The sequence below is a fragment of the Homo sapiens genome, chromosome X (assembly GCF_000001405.40).
Source record: "Homo sapiens chromosome X, GRCh38.p14 Primary Assembly".
Taxonomy (NCBI): domain Eukaryota; kingdom Metazoa; phylum Chordata; class Mammalia; order Primates; family Hominidae; genus Homo; species Homo sapiens.
The window spans coordinates 47,114,605-47,132,824 of record NC_000023.11 but is presented as its reverse complement, the minus strand read 5'-3'; the positions used below and the strand labels follow the sequence as shown (position 1 = coordinate 47,132,824).

General features: G+C 44.1%; 2 long non-coding RNA genes and 1 pseudogene across 4 annotated transcripts, besides 2 other annotated features; 1 reads left to right on the top strand and 2 right to left on the bottom strand.

The window, feature by feature from the left end:
• Nucleotides 1–153, bottom strand: RNU12-2P (RNA, U12 small nuclear 2, pseudogene; annotated as a pseudogene).
• LOC107985720 (uncharacterized) lies at nt 1,635–3,501 on the bottom strand. The gene is made up of 2 exons (XR_001756002.2): nt 3,382–3,501; nt 1,635–3,276 (listed from the first exon to the last, which is right to left on the bottom strand). It is a non-coding gene; the product is annotated as an uncharacterized LOC107985720 (long non-coding RNA).
• Nucleotides 2,971–3,050: an enhancer, noted in NCBI's record as "active region_29581". NCBI's record gives its function as "activates an Ori minimal core promoter by ATAC-STARR-seq in GM12878 lymphoblastoid cells {active_cell/tissue: GM12878}" and the evidence as "EXISTENCE:reporter gene assay evidence [ECO:0000049][PMID:35858748]".
• Nucleotides 3,081–3,190: an enhancer, noted in NCBI's record as "active region_29580". NCBI's record gives its function as "activates an Ori minimal core promoter by ATAC-STARR-seq in GM12878 lymphoblastoid cells {active_cell/tissue: GM12878}" and the evidence as "EXISTENCE:reporter gene assay evidence [ECO:0000049][PMID:35858748]".
• Nucleotides 3,275–7,105, top strand: LOC105373193 (uncharacterized). 3 transcript variants are annotated; one of them, XR_949046.3, is made up of 3 exons: nt 3,371–3,460; nt 6,450–6,579; nt 6,982–7,105. It is a non-coding gene; the product is annotated as an uncharacterized LOC105373193 (long non-coding RNA). The 3 variants fall into 3 exon arrangements; XR_949045.2 differs by having other exon boundaries at nt 6,975–7,105; XR_007068223.1 differs by having other exon boundaries at nt 3,275–3,460; nt 6,450–7,105.
• Nucleotides 7,106–18,220: the final 11,115 nt, after the last annotated feature.

The window sequence follows — 18,220 nt, the reverse complement described above, 5'->3', positions numbered from 1 at the left end:
GGCAGATCGCGACTCCTAGGCATCCCGCAAAGTAGGCTGGTCACCTTAGGGGCGACCTTTACCAGCTCAAAAATTCGTCTCACATTAGCAGTGAGGATTCGGGCATCACCCCGAATAACAATCGTTATTTTCCTTACTCATAAGTTTAAGACATGGTACTGGGAATTTAAAAAAATAAATTAGGTTATTTTACTGAGAGAGAAAGAGCGAGAGAGAGAGAGAGAAAGAAGAAGAGGAGGAGGAAGAAAGGGAGGAAGGAAAGAAACCATCATATTCTTTTTTTTTTAAACCATTATATTCTAAATGAAGTAACTCAGGAATGGAAAAGCAAACATCGTATGTTCTCACTTTTTTGTTCTGTTTTGTTTTTTAAGATGGAGTTTCGCTCTGTCGTCCAGTCTGGAGTGCAGTGGCGTGATCTCGGTTCACTGCAACCTTTGCCTCCCGGATTTAAGCGATTCTCCTGCCTCAGCCTCCCAAGTAGCTGGGATTACAGGTGTGTACCACTAGGCCCGGCTAATTTTTGTATTTTTAGTAGAGACAGGGTTTCGCCATGTTGGTCAGGCTGGTCTGGAACTCCTGACCTCAATTGATCCACCCGCCTCAGCCTCCCAAAGTGCTGGGATCACAGGCGTGAGCCATCGCGTCCGCCCTGTTCTCTCTTACAAGTGGGAGCTAAACTATGAGGACCCAAAGGCATAAGAATGATACAATGGGCTCTGGGGACTGGGGGGAGGGGGTGGGAAGGGGGTGAGGGGTAAAAAACTCCACATCGGATGATGGGTGCACCAAAATCTCAGAAATCACCACTAAAGGACTTTTTCATGTGACCAAACACCACCTGTTCCCCCAAAACTACTGAAATAATACTAATAAAATAAAAATAAATTTTAAAAACCCCTAAATCCATTAAGATAAGGCAGGACTGGTGGGTTGGGGCCAGATCACACAGGGGTTTGACATGTGTGTGTTCAGAAACTTATTTGTTTATTTTTAGAGATGGGTTCTTGCTATATTGCCCAGGCTGGACTTGAATTCCTGGGCTCAAGCAATCCTCCCACCTAAGCCCCCCGAGAAGCTGGGACTATAGGTGCATGCCACCGTACCCAGCTTAGAAATATATTTAAATTTTATGAATCAAAAGCCTTAATGCACCAAGAGTTCATCCAGAGTAGGGTGTGGAACTTGGGAAGGGTTTATAGCAGGAAAATGACCACAGCATGAGCCCAGCTAGGCCATGTACCGAGTGGCCTTGGGCAAGTCATTTATTCTCTCAGAACCTGTTTCTTCTTGTAGAAAAGGGGGATCATGTTGATCCCTAACTCACAGGGTGGCTGGGAGCCTTAAACAAGGCCATAACTGCAGTAAGTTCTGCCATGTATTCAGAGCTAACTATATGTTCTAATCACTTTACATGTATTATTACCCCCATTTTAGAAAACAAAAAACACCGTTCCAGTGCAGTCCTTAAGACGGCTTGGGTTCAAATCCCATCTCTGCCACTTACGGATGTTTCCCCATCTGTAGTATGACGAGAATAAATGTGCCTATTTGTGAGGATTAAATGAGACAATACATGAAGGGCATTTAGAATGACAAATAAAAAGAAAAAAAGAGAAAAAAATAACACATGATCAGCATTTAGAATTATTCCTAGTACATACAAGCAGTCAATAAATGTTAGTCAGACATCGAAGTCTCCCTGTGCAAAATTGCTCACAATTTTCTCACAAACCAGCTAGGAGAAAAAGAAAGACAATCCCACTTCTATGCAATGCATGATGAATATTACTGGCAGATATAATCAACACAAAATTACACAGTACTTAACTGAATCTCTTAACAGTTTCTATCTTACTTTCATTGACGGTTATTATTAATAATTAGTAATAACCATTAATTATTTATAAGATATTCCCCACCAGGCCTTAGTATTCTGGGGATATATAAAGCAGGGTTTTTAGAATGAAATAATTAATGAATAAAGTACTCTATATATTATCAATAGCTCCAAAGCATCATAAATGTATGTCTCCAGACCTGTTAACACCAGAGGAATCAATACATTTTCTTGTAATTTTAATTTAAAAAGCCAGAAACTCAGGATCTAGAAGAATTTGCTTTAAAAATAAGTAAGGCCAGGCGCGGTGGCTCACGCCTGTAATCCCAGCACTTTGGGAGGCCGAGGCGGGTGGATCATGAGGTAAGGAGTCCGAGACAAGCCTGGCCAACATAGTGAAACCCAGTCTCTACTAAAAATACAAAAATCAGCCAGGCATGGTGGCGCGTGCCTGTAGTCCCAGCTACTCGGGAGGCCGAGGCAGGAGAATTGCTTGAACCCGGGAGGCGGAGGTTGTGGTGAGCTGAGATCGCGCCACTGCACTCCAGCCTGGGCAACAGAGCGAGACTCCGTCTCAAAATTAATTAATGAATTAATTAAAAGCCAGTAGCAATAAAATTTAATTATACAATTTTTAAGAATATGAAATAAAAAAACAGCAAAATTAAACTTCGAAGATAAAAACTAAGTGAAAAAAAGAAACAGAAAATTAAAAATCCAAAATATTAAAAACAAAGGCACATAACCTTCGCACCTTTCCAAACTAGGATTCGTACAGATGCCACCTAAATGAAAAACACTGCTCGCTTTCCCCAGCCTCTGCCTCTGCCAAGACTCTTAAGTCATAGCGACTTCTGGGCCACCATTGTCCTCATCCAGAATCCGCTTTCTCCCTTTTCCAAAAAATTCCACTAGCCCTACAAACGTGGCCTCTTTGGGAAAGCTTTCATTTTGGAAAAAAAAAAAAAAAAAAAAAAGCGGGGGGTGGGCGCCAGAAGGGTCGGTCTGGAATCTGACCTTGAAAAAGGCTGATTCATCAAATTGAAATATATTAAAAACAATCATATGCACACATACGGGTAACATTTCTATACCAGGGTTCATTCCGGGGGGGTGGGGGGGGGGCGGTCTGGATAAAAGCCACTACCAAAGCGCTATAGGAGAAAACCAAACCATCAGCGCGTTCAATCAATCTTAGTGTTTTGAACCCGCCTCCAGATTGTTTTCCTGAATTGTGGCTGCGCAGAGACTCCGGGGTGGGATGAGAACCAAGACTGCCCCACTGCCTCCCTACCCGACTGACATTGGACACGGAACAAGAGACCTGACAGGGTCCAACAGAGAAACGCGGATGGGCTCAGAGCTTCTTTCCAGACCCGCCAGTCTCTGGTGCAACAGATGATGTCCGGGAAGAGGCGGAGCCAGGTGTGACAGTTCTGAGGGCCAAAGACAGCCGTTGGGTTAATCAATTGTTCTTTGGAGCAGCTTGGACACCTTTAGAGGGTGGGCTCTATAGGTGAAAGAACGGCAGGCGGACCGACCAGAAGTTCGTGCTCTGATGGCCGGGGATGTGCAGAACTAGAGGATGCGGAGCCGATTGACAGCAGGCCTGAGAGAGAGGTTAGCACCCATAGTTCTTCCGCGAGAAGGGGGCGGGGATTGAAACTTGATTGATGGCATTTCCGACCAGTGAGAACGTCTGAGTCAGGGGCCCTTGAGTAGTATGTGTCTTTTGGCAGTAGAGGGTTGGTCCTTACTTTGACTGACCCTCTTATCATCCAATAAACATGCCTACTTGCGTTGGGGGCGGGGCGACTGAGTGCAGAAAAGACGGGATCTTGTCCTTGTCCTCGTTTCCCTTAAAGAGGAAACTCAGTTCCACCGGTAGCTCCCTACCCGCTTATCTGTTTTTTATTTTATATTTTTTATTTTTTTGAGACGGAATCTAGCTCTGTCGCCCAGGCTGGAGTGCAGTGGCACGATCTCCGCTCACTGCAACCTCCGCCTCCCGGGTTCCAGCGATTCTCGTGCCTCAGCCTCCTGAGTAGCTGGGATTACAGGCGCCCACCATCACGCCCGGCTAATTTTTGTATTTTTAGTAGAGACGGGGTTTCACCATGTTGGCCAGGCTGGTCTCGATCTCCTGACCTCAATTGATCCGCCCGCCTCGGACTCCCAAAGTACTGGAATTACAGGCGTGAGCCACCGCGCCCGGCCTTATCTGTTTTTTAAAAGGCATATGATGCTTTAAAAAATTCGAAAGTCACAGATTTAGAACAGTTTAGCTTTTCCGCGCTGTACAGAAACGATGGCCTCACTGCACCTGTGAAAAAAGAGCCGCCCCAGAAAAGGCAGTCTTAGGGTTGGGGAGTTGGCCTAGGATTGGAATTTGATTTGAGATTTTAGGCCTGAGAGGCTACAATGGAGGGCGGGTGTTTCTGATAGAAGATTTCTGGGGTGAGTGATGGAAGGGTTCTAGGGACAATATTGGGGTCTGTGGAGATCAGTAATAGATGGTTAGTGGAAAAGCTAAACTGTTCTAAAGCTGAGACTTTCAAACGTTTTAAAACATCATATGCCTTTTTAACAGATAAGCGGGTAGAGAGCTACTGGTGGAATTGGTCAGTCTGGGTCACCCATGTAGACGCCCATAGTAAGAGCCTATTCTCTGATGAGGCCGACTGGAATCAAACAGCTGATGCACTTCTAGTTCACTGCCCCCTGAACATGGCAATGCATCCACCATCATAGACTGGGCACAAAGTAAAGGACTCTATGTTTCTGACACAGACCATTTGCAGTCTGGCAGTGGTGTGCCTTTTGTTGCAAAGGCCACCCAACTATGGGTCAGTAGTCAAAGCCTTCCATAGATGTTCTATGTGCCCTACCATGGGCAGGTATCTGATATTGTTAAATATTGAAATGGCCTCCTCAAAAATGAACTCAAAAGGATTGCAGAACCTACCTCTCTCTCCTTCTCCTGGTCCACTCACCTTAGTAAGGCAGTTTGGTCACTAAATGTGGCTGTCCCAAGAATGGCATTATCTCCCATTGGGTACCTCAGATAATGGTCGGAACAAAAGGGGTGGGCTATAGAGGCATTTGGGATTCTGCCCTGGCCGTTCCTGGACGTGATGTATTTTTCTTTCCTTTAACAGTAATCACAGGTTCCAGGCTAGCCTAGTTGGTAACCCTCCAGGCAGCAGCCCAGCCCAAAAGAGCCCTAGGGGACTTAAACTTTTTTTTTTTTTTTTTGAGACTGAGTCTCGCTCTGTTGCCCAGGCTGGAGTGCAGTGGCGCAATCTCAGCTCACTGCCACCTCTGCCTCCTGGGTTCAAGTGATTCTCGTGCCTCAGCCTCCCAAGTAGCTGGGATTACAGGCACCTACCACCACGCCTGGCTAATTTTTGTATTTTCAGTAGAGACAGGGTTTCACCATGTTGGCCAGGCCGGTCTCGAACTCCTGACCTCAGGTGATCTGCCCACCTTGGCCCCCCAAAGTGCTGGGATTACAAGTGTGAGCCACCATGCCTGGCTCGGACTTAAAGTTAATTCTGGTCAGTCACCTGAATTCTCTTGTTGGGTGGACACGGTCCTAGATCCTAATGACAATGACCACTTGATTGAGTACACCACTCACCAAGTTCCCATACAGCAGCTCACACTGACTAAGATAGAAGACATAAAAAAAAAATCTCTGTAAATTTTATAAAAATGCCTTTGGCCCTCTTGTACTTGACCCTTCTGGATGAAAGGTCTGGGTACAAATAGGGGATGATTGGGAAAAAGTGAAGTTACAGGCTCTGGGATGGGATACATTGATTTCATGAGGTGTGGAAGGAGAGCATTTGGGGAGTGATATGGTTGGTTTGGCTCTGTGTCCCCACCCAAATCTCACTTCGAATGGTAATCCCCCTGTGTCAGGGGAGGGACCTGATGGGAGGTGATTGGATTATGGGGGGAGTTTCCCCCATGCTGTTCTTGTGATAGTGAGTGAATGAGTTCTTACGAGATCTGATGGTTTAAAAAGTGCATGGTGCTGGGCACGGTGGCTCACGTCTGTAATCCTAGCACTTTGGGAGGCCAAGGTGGGCAGATTGCCTGAGTTCAGGAGTTTGAGACCACCCTGGGCAACATGGTGAAACTCTGTCTCTACTAAAAATACAAAAGGTAGCTGGGCGTGGTGGTGTGTGCCTGTGGTACTAGCTACTCAGGAGGCTGAGGCGGGAGAATGTCTTGAACCTGGGAGGTGGAGGTTGTAGTGAGCCGAGATCACGCCACTGCACTCCAGCCTGGGTGACAGAGCAACACCCTGTCTCAAAAAAAAAAAAAAAAAAAAAGTGGGTGGCTTTCTTCCCTCGCTTTCTCTCCTGCTACCTTGTGAAGAAGGTTCTTGCTTCTGCTTCACCTTCTGCCATGATCGTGAGTTTCCTGAGGCCTCCCCAGCCATGCAGAACTCTGAGTCAATTAAACCTCTTTTCTTCGTAAGTTACCCAGTCTCAGGTAGCTCTTTATAGCAGTGTGAAAATGGACTAATACAGGGAGGGAATATCTTAGACCCTGAGAGGTGCAAGATGGGGAGAAAATGAATGCTCTCTTTGTCCCCTAGATCGAGCACTCACAGCCCAACAAAACAATCATCTGCTCTGCTGGAGTCAAGCAGCAGGTGCAGCTGGCAATCTAACCTGCTGCTAGGTTTGCCATCACCGTCCTTGGGTGACAAAACCAGAAAAAAGCATGTGAGTATGGCTGCTCCTGAATTACTCTGCTGTGCCTGATGCCATCAACAGCAGCTCCTAAACACAGGCTTCCCTCATACCTGTAGACATACGTGGGCCAGCACAACCTTGTTTAGATCTGATTGATCCAAATTCATCTGCTTCTCCTGGCACCCAAGTGGCCTTGGATTATGCCACGTTTAGAGATTTAAGTACAAGCACTAAGATGCTACTTGCTATAGGTGGAATGTTTATGTTACCTCAAAATTCATATGTTGGAATCCTAAGCCCCAAGGTATTAGAAGGTAGGGTCTTTGGGAGGTGATTAGGTCTTGAGGGCAGAGCCCTCATGAAAGGAATTAGTGCCCTTATAAACGGGGCCCCAGAGTGCTCCCTTGTTATTTTCTCCATGTGAGGACACAGTGAGAGGATGGCCATCTGTGAACCAGGAAGTGGACCCTCACCAGATGCAGAAATCTGCTGGCACCTTGATCTTCGACTTCCAGCCTCCAGACGTGTGAGAAATAAACTTGTTGGTTATATGCTACCCTGTCTATTGTATTCCATTATAGCAGCCTGAATAGACTACTGCTCATAACACTTTACCAAACCAATGTAATGGTGAGTCCAATCAAGTTGAACAACAAATGCTGAAGTGAAATGAACTGTTCCCCTTTGGATGGTATATTTGTATATGGGGGGAACAGTAGGTAACAGAATGTCTCTCCACTGGGACAGGGTTTGCTTTGGGGCCCATGTATTGCCCCCTAAATTATTGACAGTATGCCAAACGTCAGCGCATCAGTCTAAATTCCTTTGTGTGGGTTGTAGCGTATAGTAACCTGGCCTTAGTTTTACTACTTTGTAGCTGCCTAAAGATACAAGGCCCCAATCACTGATTACCCCAGCCATTTCTCAGGGTTGTGATGACACCGAGCAACCCTGTGGGATGAGGCAATGTCTCCCTCTGGGGCAAAAAACAGGCTGGATCACCCATGCTCAGTGTTTCTTGGCTGTGATGTAAACCTATTGTGTGTGCAATGTCCACCAGGGACCCTCTGCATCACTGCTGTGGGACTTGGAGGACATGGGGAGCAGGTGCCCACGTGACGTGCAAGCTGCTTGCTGTCCTAGGAGCAGGAAAATCCTTTGTCTCAGCCTCAGGAGTCTCATGTTTTCTGTCAGCATCTCTAAAACATGTTAGCTTGTAAGAGGGTGAAGTCTCAGACCTTTCGCAGACCCTGACAATCAACAGTGGAGGGATTTTTCTTTATGCTCTGACAGTCTCTATGGTCTGGCCACAGTTTTGGAAGATCAGTGATTGGTTGCCAGTGGTGTCAGGATGAGGCTCCAGGGACTCGAATCCTGAGGTAATTAATAATTGGAGGCCTTTGAGGCTACTGATTGAGGGTCTGTGGCTGTCAATCATTGGGAGAGGGGCCATAGTGGTAGTGTTCGTGTGAGCCAGTGATGAGTGACGCTCTGTGCTTCCTTCCTTCCTTCCTCCCTCCCTCCCTCTCTTTCTTCTTTCTTTCTCTCTCTCTCTTTCTTTCTTTCTCTTTTCCTTCCTTCCTTTCTTTCTCTTTTCCTTCCTTCCTTCCTTCCCTCCTTCCTTCCTTCCCTCCTTCCTTCCTTTCCTTCCTTCTTCTTTCTTTCTTTTCTTTCTCTAATTCTTTCTCTTTCTCTCTCTTTCATTCTTTCTCTTTCTCTCTCTCTCTATTTTTTTTTTTTTTTTTTGACAGAGTCTCGCTCTGTTGTCCAGGCTGGAGTGCAATGGCACAATCTCAGTTCACTGCAAGCTCCACCTCCTGGGTTCAAGCGAGCACGCCCAGCTAATTTTTGTATTTTTAGTAGAGATGAGGTTTCACCATGTTGGCCTGGCTGGTCTCAAACTCCTGACCTCAAGTGATCCGCCCACCTCAGCCTCCCAAAGTGCTGGGATTACAGGCATGAGCCACTGCCCCCGGCCTCTTTCTCTTTCTTCTTTCTTTCTTGATCTGTCACCCAGGCTGGAGTGCAGTGGTTCAATCATAGCTCACTGCAGCCTCAAACTCCTCCACTCAAGAGGTCCCCTACCTTGGCCTCCCAAAGCACTGGGATTACAGGCATGAGCCACAGTGCCCGGCCTTGATTGTGGTTTCTTTGGTTCCTTAATTGGATTCTTGGAGGGTCAGTGATTGGGCCTATGTGTGATTACTGTTTGGAGACTTTGGAGGACCCTGTGGGAAACAGCTGCCCCAGGCAGGTGGGAATGGGTCTCCAGGAAAGCACAGAGTTGAATTTTTTAGGTAATAGTCTCCCTTTAGATTCAGACCTACATTTATTTGGTACATAGCTCTACTACTTACTAACATAGTATGACCTTGGTCGAGTTTCTGATTCCTTCTGAGCCTCAGAAGTTTCCTTATCTAGAAAATGGAGATAATATAGAATGCATATGCTATATAATACTGTAATATATATAGTATATAATATATACAATGTCCTAGTATTGTTGTGGAAAGTCCTTTCCATAGCGCAAAGCCATAGAAGATTTGTGGGAATAGGGGCAGTGACACACTGGGATACACCCCTGTGGATTCAGGACTTGCAGGGCGAGAGGTGGGGAGATCATGAATGGGGACTGGCTTTGCTGCAGGGCAGCTGCTCCCCCACCTCTCTGTGGTAAATCCTATCTCCATGTATCCTGTGAGGTACTTCCACTCCCTCGGACAAATCCGACCTTCACGTGTCCTACCAGGTTCACAGTTTGACTCAGAGAAAGGCTAGCATGGAGACAGTCCTAGGACAGATCTCCTGGTTTTCGGCCTAGGCAGGTAATCTTGTCAGCAGAGAAGTTTGTAATCTTGTCAGCAGAGGGTAGGCAGTGTAGGTTGCCCAGGATGCGCACTGAAATATTCAGGAGCTTTATTTTAAGTAACCCTGACATTGTCATCCTGCAGCCTGAGCTCTTGACCTGAGCCTCACAGATGCCCCCTGCCCTCCACAATCACTGACCTCCACAGACTACTCATTCTTAAAGTTTCGTTTCTTTTTCTAGTTTTCCTGAACTGGCTAGATTCTTCAGTACAATGTGTTTTTTGTTGTTGTTGTTTGTTTTTTGAGGCGGAGTCTTACTCTGTCGCCCAGGCTGGAGTGCAGTGGCGTGATCTCGGCTCATTGCAACCTCTGCCTCCCGAGTTCAAGCGATTCTCCCACTTCAGCCTCCTGAGAAGCTGGGATTACATATGCCTGCCACCACACCCGGCTAATTTCAGTACAATGTTGAATGGCAATATTGATACTAGAACCCTTGTCTTTTTCCTGATTTAAAGGAAAATCTTTCAACTTTTCCCATTGAGAACATATTTTGTAGAGACTATCACGTTAAAAAAAAAGTCCTGTCTTTTCCTAGTTTGATAGGAGTTTGTTTTTTTGACAGGGTCTTGCTCTGTTGCCCACGTTGGAGTGCAGTGGCGCCATCATTGCTCACTGCTCACTGCAGCCTTGACCTCCCAGGGCTCAAGCGATCCTCCCATCTCAGCCTCCCAAGTAGGTAGGATAAGCTCACACCACCATGCTCAGCTAATTTTTTTTTTTTTTTTTTTCTGTAGAGACGAGGTTTTGCCATGTTGCCCGTGGCTGGTCTTGAACTTCTGGACTCAAGCAATCTGCCTGCTTCAGCTACCCAAAGGGCTAGGATGCTGGGAATAGAGGTGTGAGCCATCATGCTCAGCTTTTTTTTTTTTTTTTAGACAGGGTCTCATTCTGTCACCCTGGCTGGAGTGCAGTGATGCAATCATAGCTCACTGCAGCTTCGACCTCCTGGGCTCAAGTCATCCTCCCCCCTTGGCCTCCTAAGTAGCTAGGACTAAAGGTGTGCACCACCACACCTGGCTAATTCTTTAATTAAAAAAATTATAAATGGATGTTAAGATTTGTCAGATGCTTTTTCTGTGTCTTTCTTGGCAACCACAAGAGTTTTATCTTTTAATCTGTAAATATGGTAAATTGGCCAGGCAAGGTGGCTCATGCCTGTAATCCCAGCATTTTGGGAGGCTGAGGCAGGTGGATCACTTGAGACCAGGAGTTTGAGACCAGCCTGGGCAACATGGCGAAACCCCCTCTCTACTAAAAATACAAAAAATTAGCCAGGTGTGGTGGTACATGCCTGTAGTCCCAGCTACTTGGGAGGCAGGCGAATCGCTTGAAACTGGGAGGCAGAGATTGCAGTGAGCTGAGATCATGCCACTGCACTCCAGCCTGGGGACAAGAGCGAAACTCTGTCTCAAAAAAAAAAAAAAGTAAATTACATTATTTAATTTTCCAATATTAAACTAACATTGTATTCCAGGAATAAACCCAACTTGTTTATTGTTTATAATATATTAACATTTTTATGTATTACTAGTATTTCATTTAGGATTTTTGCATCTATGTTCATGAAGGAGATAAACCTGAAAATTTCCTTTATTTAAAAAAATTTTATTATTACTTTTATTTTTTAGAGACAGGGTCTCATTCTATTGCCCAGGCTGAAGTGCAGTGATGCGATCATGGCTTACTGCAGCCTTGAATTCCTGGGCTTAAGTGATCCTCCTACCTCAGCCTCCCCAGTAGCTGGAACTACAGGTGCACGCCACCACATCTGGCTAAATTTTTATTTATTTACAGACAGAGTCTCACCATATTGCCCAGGCTGGTCTTAAATTCCTGGCCTCAAGTGATCCTTGTTTGTTATGCTATCTTTTATGGGTTGAATTGTGTTCCCCGCCAAAAAGATGTTGAAGTCCTAACCCCTAGTAGCTCAGAATATGATCTTATGTAAAGTTTGGAAATAAGGTTGTTGCAGATGTAATTAGTTAGGATGATGTCCTTATAAGAAGATGGCCATGTGAAGACAGAAACATACTGGGAGAATGCCATGTGGCCACGGAGGCAGAGATTGGAGTTTTGCAGCTGCAAGCCAAGGAACGCCAAAAATTGCTGGCAAACCACCAGAATCTAGGAGAGGAGAGGAAGGATTCACCGACAGGTTTCAGAGGGAGCACGGCCCTGCAGACACCTTGACTTCAGACTTCCAGCTTCCAGAACTGTGAGAGAATAAATTTTTGTTGTTTTAAGCCACTCAGTTGGTGGTCGTCTATAATGGCACTTCTATGGAGCTAATACACTATCCTCTTAAAATGAATTGGAGATTTAAGCCTCTTTTTTCCGCTTCTCTGTAAGAGTTTATGCAGTACTAAAGTAATCTGTTCCTTGAGTGTTTCGTAGAACTCAACTGCAAAGCCCTCTGGGCTATTTTCTTTGCAGGAAGGTATTTCTTGAATAGGAACTAAACTCTTAGTCAGCTACTGTGTATCTTGAGCACTGAATATACAGGTGGGAACAAGACAGGCAAAGTCTTTGCCCTCATGGAGTGCCAATGGACAGAAAAAATACATTCTGGGTATATCTATCTATCTATCTATCTATCTATCTATCTATCTATCTATCTATCTATCTATCCCATTGGTAATATCCAGTAGGCAATTGGATATGTGTGTCTGGGCTCTGCAGAGGGGCCTGGGATGCATGTTCAGAAGTGGATGGTTGTGGCTGGGCACAGTGGCTCACGCCTGTAATCCCAGCACTTTGAGAGGCCGAGGCAGGTGCATCACCTGAGTCCAGGAGTTCGAGACTAGCTGGCCAACATGGTGAAACCCTGTCTCCACTGAAATACAAAAATTAGCCAGGTGTAGCAGCAGGTGCCTGTAATCCCAGATACTCAGGAGGCTGAGACATGAGAATCGCTTGAACACAGGAGGTGGAGGTTGCAATGAGCCAATATCATGCCATTGCACTTCAGCCTGGGTGACAGAGTGAGACTCCATCTCAAGAAAAATAAAAGTGGATGGTTGTTGAGACTTTGGGAAAAGATGAGTTTGTCCAGAAGGAGAGGATACATTCCTTCATATAAAATTATTTCTGATGCAATAAATTCCTCCTTATACTATTTGTGCAACCTCAGGTCTGTGATATCTTTTCCAGAAAAGTTTGTGTAGGATTGGTGTTTTATGTATTTTTGAGACAGGTTCTCACTCTGTCGCCCAGGCTGGAGTGCAGTGGTGTGAACATGGCTCACCGCAGCCTCAACCTCCTGGGCTCAAGCAATCCTTTCACCTCAACCTCCTGAATAACTGGGACCACAGGTGTGCACCACCACATTTGGCTAATTTTAAAATTTGTTGTAGAGATGGGGTCTTGCTGTTTTGTCCAGACTGGTCTCAAACTCTGGGGCTCAAGCAGTCTTCCCGCCTTGGCCTCCTTAAAGTGATGGGATTACAGGTGTAAGCCGCTGTGTCTGGCCTAGGATTAGTGTTTTCTTCCTCTTTAAATGTTTGCTAGAATTCACTGGTGAAGCCAGTTAGAACTTTGGGTACAATATTGAAGAGAAGTGATAAGTGTAGATATTCCTGTCTTATTCCAGATCTTACGAGGAAAGCATTGTTTTTCACCATTAAGTATGATGTTAGATGTAGGATTTTTGTAGAAGCCCTTTATTTGGGGATTTTACAAGAATCTTTCCATTATTGATTTCAAATTTAGTTCCAATGTGTTCAGAGAACATTTCTCATTTGACTTGAGTCCTTTTTAATGTATTGAGGCCTGTCGATGGCCCAGAATATACGTTTGTAAGCTTTCTATGTGCACTTGAAAATAATGTGTATTCTGCTGTTGTTGAAGGAGTATTCTACAAATGTTATTAAGGTTTAGTTGGTTAGTAGTGTTGCTCATGTCTACTATGTCGTTGCTGATATTGACTGACTACTTATTCTGTTAATTATTAAGAAGTCTTATTGCCCGGGTGCGGTGGCTTATGCCTGTAATCCCAGCACTTTGGGAGGCCGAGGAGGGCGGATCGCCTGAGGCCAGGAGTTCAAGACCAGCCTGGCCAAAATGGTGAAACCCCATCTCTACTAAAAATAATTAAAAAAAAAAATTTAGCTGGGCATGGTGGCACATATCTGTGATCTCAGCTACTCGGGAGGCTGAGGCACGAGAATTGCTTGAATGCAGGAGGCAGAGGTTGCAGTGAGCCAATATCGCGCCACTGCACTCCAGCCTGGGCGACAGAGTGAGACTCCATCTCAAAAAAAAAAAAAAAAAAAGAAAAAGAAAAAAGAAAAAAAAGGAGGCTTATTGAGGCCGGCAAGGTGGCTCACACCTGTAATCCCAGCACTTTGGGAGGCTGAGGTGGGTGGATCACCTGAGGTCAGGAGTTCAAGACCAGCCTGACCAACATGGAGAAACCCCGTCTCTACTAAAAATACAAAAATTAGCTGTGCATGGTGGTGGGAACCTGTAATCTCAGCTACTGAGGGAGCTAAGGCAGGAGAATCGCTTGAACCTGGGAGGCGGAGGTTGCAGTGAGCCGAGATTGCGCCACTGCACTCCAGCCTGGGCAACACAGCAAGACTCCATCTCAAAAACAAAAAACAAAACAAAAACAAATAAACAAACAAAAACACGAAGGCTTATTGAAAGCTCCAACTATGATTGTGGGTTTGTCTATATCTTCTTGCAGTTCTATCAGTTTTTGCTTCATGCATTTTGAGCTCTGTTTTCAGGCTATAAATGTTAAGGCTCTTAATATCTTCTTGACTTTCTTTATCCCTGAAATTGACCTTTTTCAATATTAATAGTCACTCCAAGTTTTTTGAAAATATGAGCATGATATATTTTTTCTATCCTTTTACTTTTTTTAATTAGCGTCTTTGTATTTGAAGTGCATTCCTTGTAGGGGGCATGGAGATTGGTCTTGCTTTTTTATCCAATCTGGCAATGTCTGCCTTTGTATTGGAGTGTTTAAACCACTTATATTTAATGTCATATTGATGTGGTAGTTAGATTTGATTCTATCACCTTCCTATTTGTTTTCTATTTGTCCCGTCTGTTCTTTGTTCCAAATTTAATTTTTTTCTGTGTTCTTTTGGATCAATTAAATACATTTATGATTCTATTTCATGTCTTTTGTTGTCTAATAAGCTATAAGTCTTTGTTTTTTGCTTTAGTGGTTGCCTTATATAGTATACATTGTTATACTATATAGTATATATTGTTACTATATTTATACATATAGGGTTTATAGTATACATTGTTAACTTATCAGAGTCCACTTTCAAGGGGTATATCACTTCATGTGTAGTATAAAAAAACCTTACAATATTATACTTTTATCTCTCTCCTTTTAGCCTTTATGCTATTAGTTAATGCGTTCCACTTTTATATATGTTGTAAATCTTAAGGAGCCAATTATATTTTAAAAATATTTAAATAATAGAAAATACATATATTTATCCATATAATTACCATTTATTTATTTACAACTGGAGAATTTTCCTTTTGCTTGATGCATTTCTGTAACATTTCTTTTTTTTTTTTTTTTTTTTTTTTTTTTGAGATGGAGTCTCGCTCTGTTGCCCAGGCTGGAGTGTAGTGGCGTGATCTTGGCTCACTGCAACCTCCACCTCCTGGGTTCGAGCGATTATTTTGCCTCAGCCTCCCAAGTAGCTGGGACTACAGGCACATGCCACCACACCCAGCTAATTTTTGTATTTTTAGTAGAGATGGGGTTTCACCTTATTGGCCAGGTTGGTCTTGAACTCCTGACCTCGTGATCCGCCTGCCTCGGCCTCCCAAAGTGCTGGGATTACAGGCATGAGCCACCGTGCCCGGCTTCTGTAACATTTCTTATAGTGTGGCTCACTGTAGCTTCAACCTCCTGAACTAAAGCAATTCTCCTTCCTCAGTCTCCAAATAGCTGTGACTACAGGCATGTGCTACCACACCTGGCTAATTATTTTATGCTTTTGTAGAGATGGGGGTCTCGATGCTACTCATTTTTGTATGGTGATTTTGTATCCTGCAACTTTCCTGAATTTGTTCATCAGTTCTAATAGTTTTTTGGTGGAGTCTTTAGGTTTTTCCAAATATAAGCTCAGATCATCTGCAAAAAAGTATAATTTGATTTCTTCCTTTCCACTTTGGATGCCCTTTTTCCTTTCTCTCTCTCTCTCTTTCGTTTTTTTCTTTGAGACGAAGTCTCGCTCTGTCACCCAGGCTGGAGTGCAGTGGCTCGATCTTGGCTCACTACAACCTCTGCCTCCTGGATTCAAGCGATTATCTCCTGCCTCAGCCTCCGGAGTAGCTGGGATTATAGGCGCACGCCACCACACCCAGCTAATTTTTTTTGCATTTTTTGTAGAGACGGGGTTTCACCATGTTGGCTAGGCTGGTCTTGAACTGACCTCAGTTGATCCGCCCACCTTGGCCTCCCAAAGTGTTGGGATTACACTTGTGAGTCATCCTGCCCCGCCATATTTCTTTCTCTTGTCTGATTATTCTAGCTAGGACTTCCAGTGCTATGTTGAGTAACAGTGGTGAAAGTGGGCATCCTTGTCTTGTTCCAGGTCTTAGAGGAAAGGCTTTCAGTTTTTCCCCATTCAGAATGACACTAGCTGTGGGTCTATCATATACGGTTTCATTGTGTTGAGATATGTTCCTTCTACACTCAGTTTTTTGAGGATTGTTATCATGAAGGGATGTTGAGCTTTATCAATTCCTGCCATTTGGTTGTTTGTTTTCTGATTGTTTTGTGGTCTTCTCTTCCTCCTTTCCTTTTTTCTGTCTTCCTTTTAGTGAGGGTGGTTTTCTCAGGTGGTATGTTTTAATTTCTTGCTTTTTTATTTTTTGTGTATCTGTTGTATGTTTTTTGGTTTGAGGTTACCATGAACCTTGCAAATATCTTATAACCCATTATTTTAAACTCATGACAAAGTAACACTGATGGTATAAACATACAAACAAACAAACAAACAAGCAAAGAGAAAACTAATAAAAACTCTTACACTTTAACCTCATCCCCCATTTTTTAACTTTTTGTTGTTCCTATTTCTATCTTATTGTACTATGTCTTGAAATGCTGTCGTAGTTATCATTTTCAACTGGCACATCTTTTAGTGTTTTTTTGTTTTTTTTTTTTATTTTTGAGATGGAGTTTCCCTCTTGTTGCCCAGGCTGGAGTGCAATGGCACGATCTCGGCTCACGAAAAACTCTGCCTCCTGGGTTCAAGCGATTCTCCTGCCTCAGCCTCCCGAGTAGCTGGGATTACAGGCATGTGCCACTATGCCTGGCTAATTTTGTATTTTCAGTAGAGATAGGGTTTCTCCATATTGGTCAGGCTGGTCTTGAACTCCCGACCTCAGGTGATCTGCCTGCCTTGGCCTCCCAAAGTGCTGGGATTACAGGCGTGAGCCACTGTGCCCAGCCTCCTTCAGGACTTTAAATATGTCATGCCATTATCTCCTGGCTTGTAAGGTTTCCACTGAGAAGTCTGCTGCCAGATGTATTAGAGCTCCATAGTGTTATTTGTTTCTTTTCTCTTGCTGATTTTAAGGTCTTTTCTTTATCCTTGTCCCTTGGGGTTTTATTATTATTTTTGAGACAGGATCTTGCTCTGTTGCCTGGGCTGGAGTGCAGTGGTGCAATCATGGCTCACTACAGCCTTGGCTTCCTGAGCTCAAGTGATCCTCCCATCTCAGCCTCTCAAGTAGCTGGGACTACAGGCGCATGACCCCACATCTGGCTAAATTTTGTGGGTTTTTTTTTGGGTAGAAAGAAATGGGATTTTGCCATGTTGCCCAGGCTGGTCTCAAACTCCTGGGGTCACGTGATTTACCCACCTCAGCCTCCCAGAAAGCTAGGATTACAGGCATGAGCTGACACGCCTGGCCAGGAGTTTGATTATTAAATATCCTAAGGTAGTCTTATTTTGGTTAAATCTGCTTGGTGTTCTGTAACCTTGTACTTGAATATTGAAATCTTTCTCTATGTTTGGGACGTTCTCTGTTATTAGCCCTTAACAGAAAACTTTTTTCCCTATCTCTCTTTCTGTCTCCTTTTTAAGGCCAATAACTTTTAGATTTGCCCTTTGAGGCTATTTTCTGGATTCTGTAGGCATTCTTCTTTCTTTTTTGTTCTTTTTTCTTTCTTTCTTTCTTTCTTTTTTTTTTGTGAGACGGAGTCTTATTCTGTCACCCAGGCTGGAGTGCAATGGCGCGATCTCAGCTCACTGCAACCTCTGCCTCCTGGGCTCAAGTGATGCTCCTGCCTCAGCCCCCTGAGTAGCTGAGATTACAGGCCTGGCTAATTTTTATATATTTAGTAGAGGTGGGGTTTCACCATCTTGGCCAGGCTGGTCTCAAACTCCTGACCTTGTGATCCGCCCACCTCGGCCTCCCAAAGTGCTGGGATTACAGGCGTGAGCCACCACGCCTGGCGTCTTTTTTCTTTTGTCTCCTCTGACTATGTGTTTTCAAATAGCCTGTTTTCAAGCTCACTAATTATTTCCTCTGCTTGATCAATTCTGCTATTAAATGACTCTGATGCATTCTTCAGTCTGTCAATTGCATTTTTCAGCTCCAGAATTTCTGCTTTATTCTTTTTTCATTATTGCAATGTCTTTGTTAAATTTATCTGATAGGATTCTGAATTCCTTCTTTATGTTATCTTGAGTATCTGTGAGTTTCCGTGAGTTTCCTCAAGACAGCTATTTTGAATTCTCTGTATGAGAGGTCACATATCTCTGTCTTTCCAGGATTGATACCTGGTGTCTTATGTAGTTCATTTGGTAAGGTCATG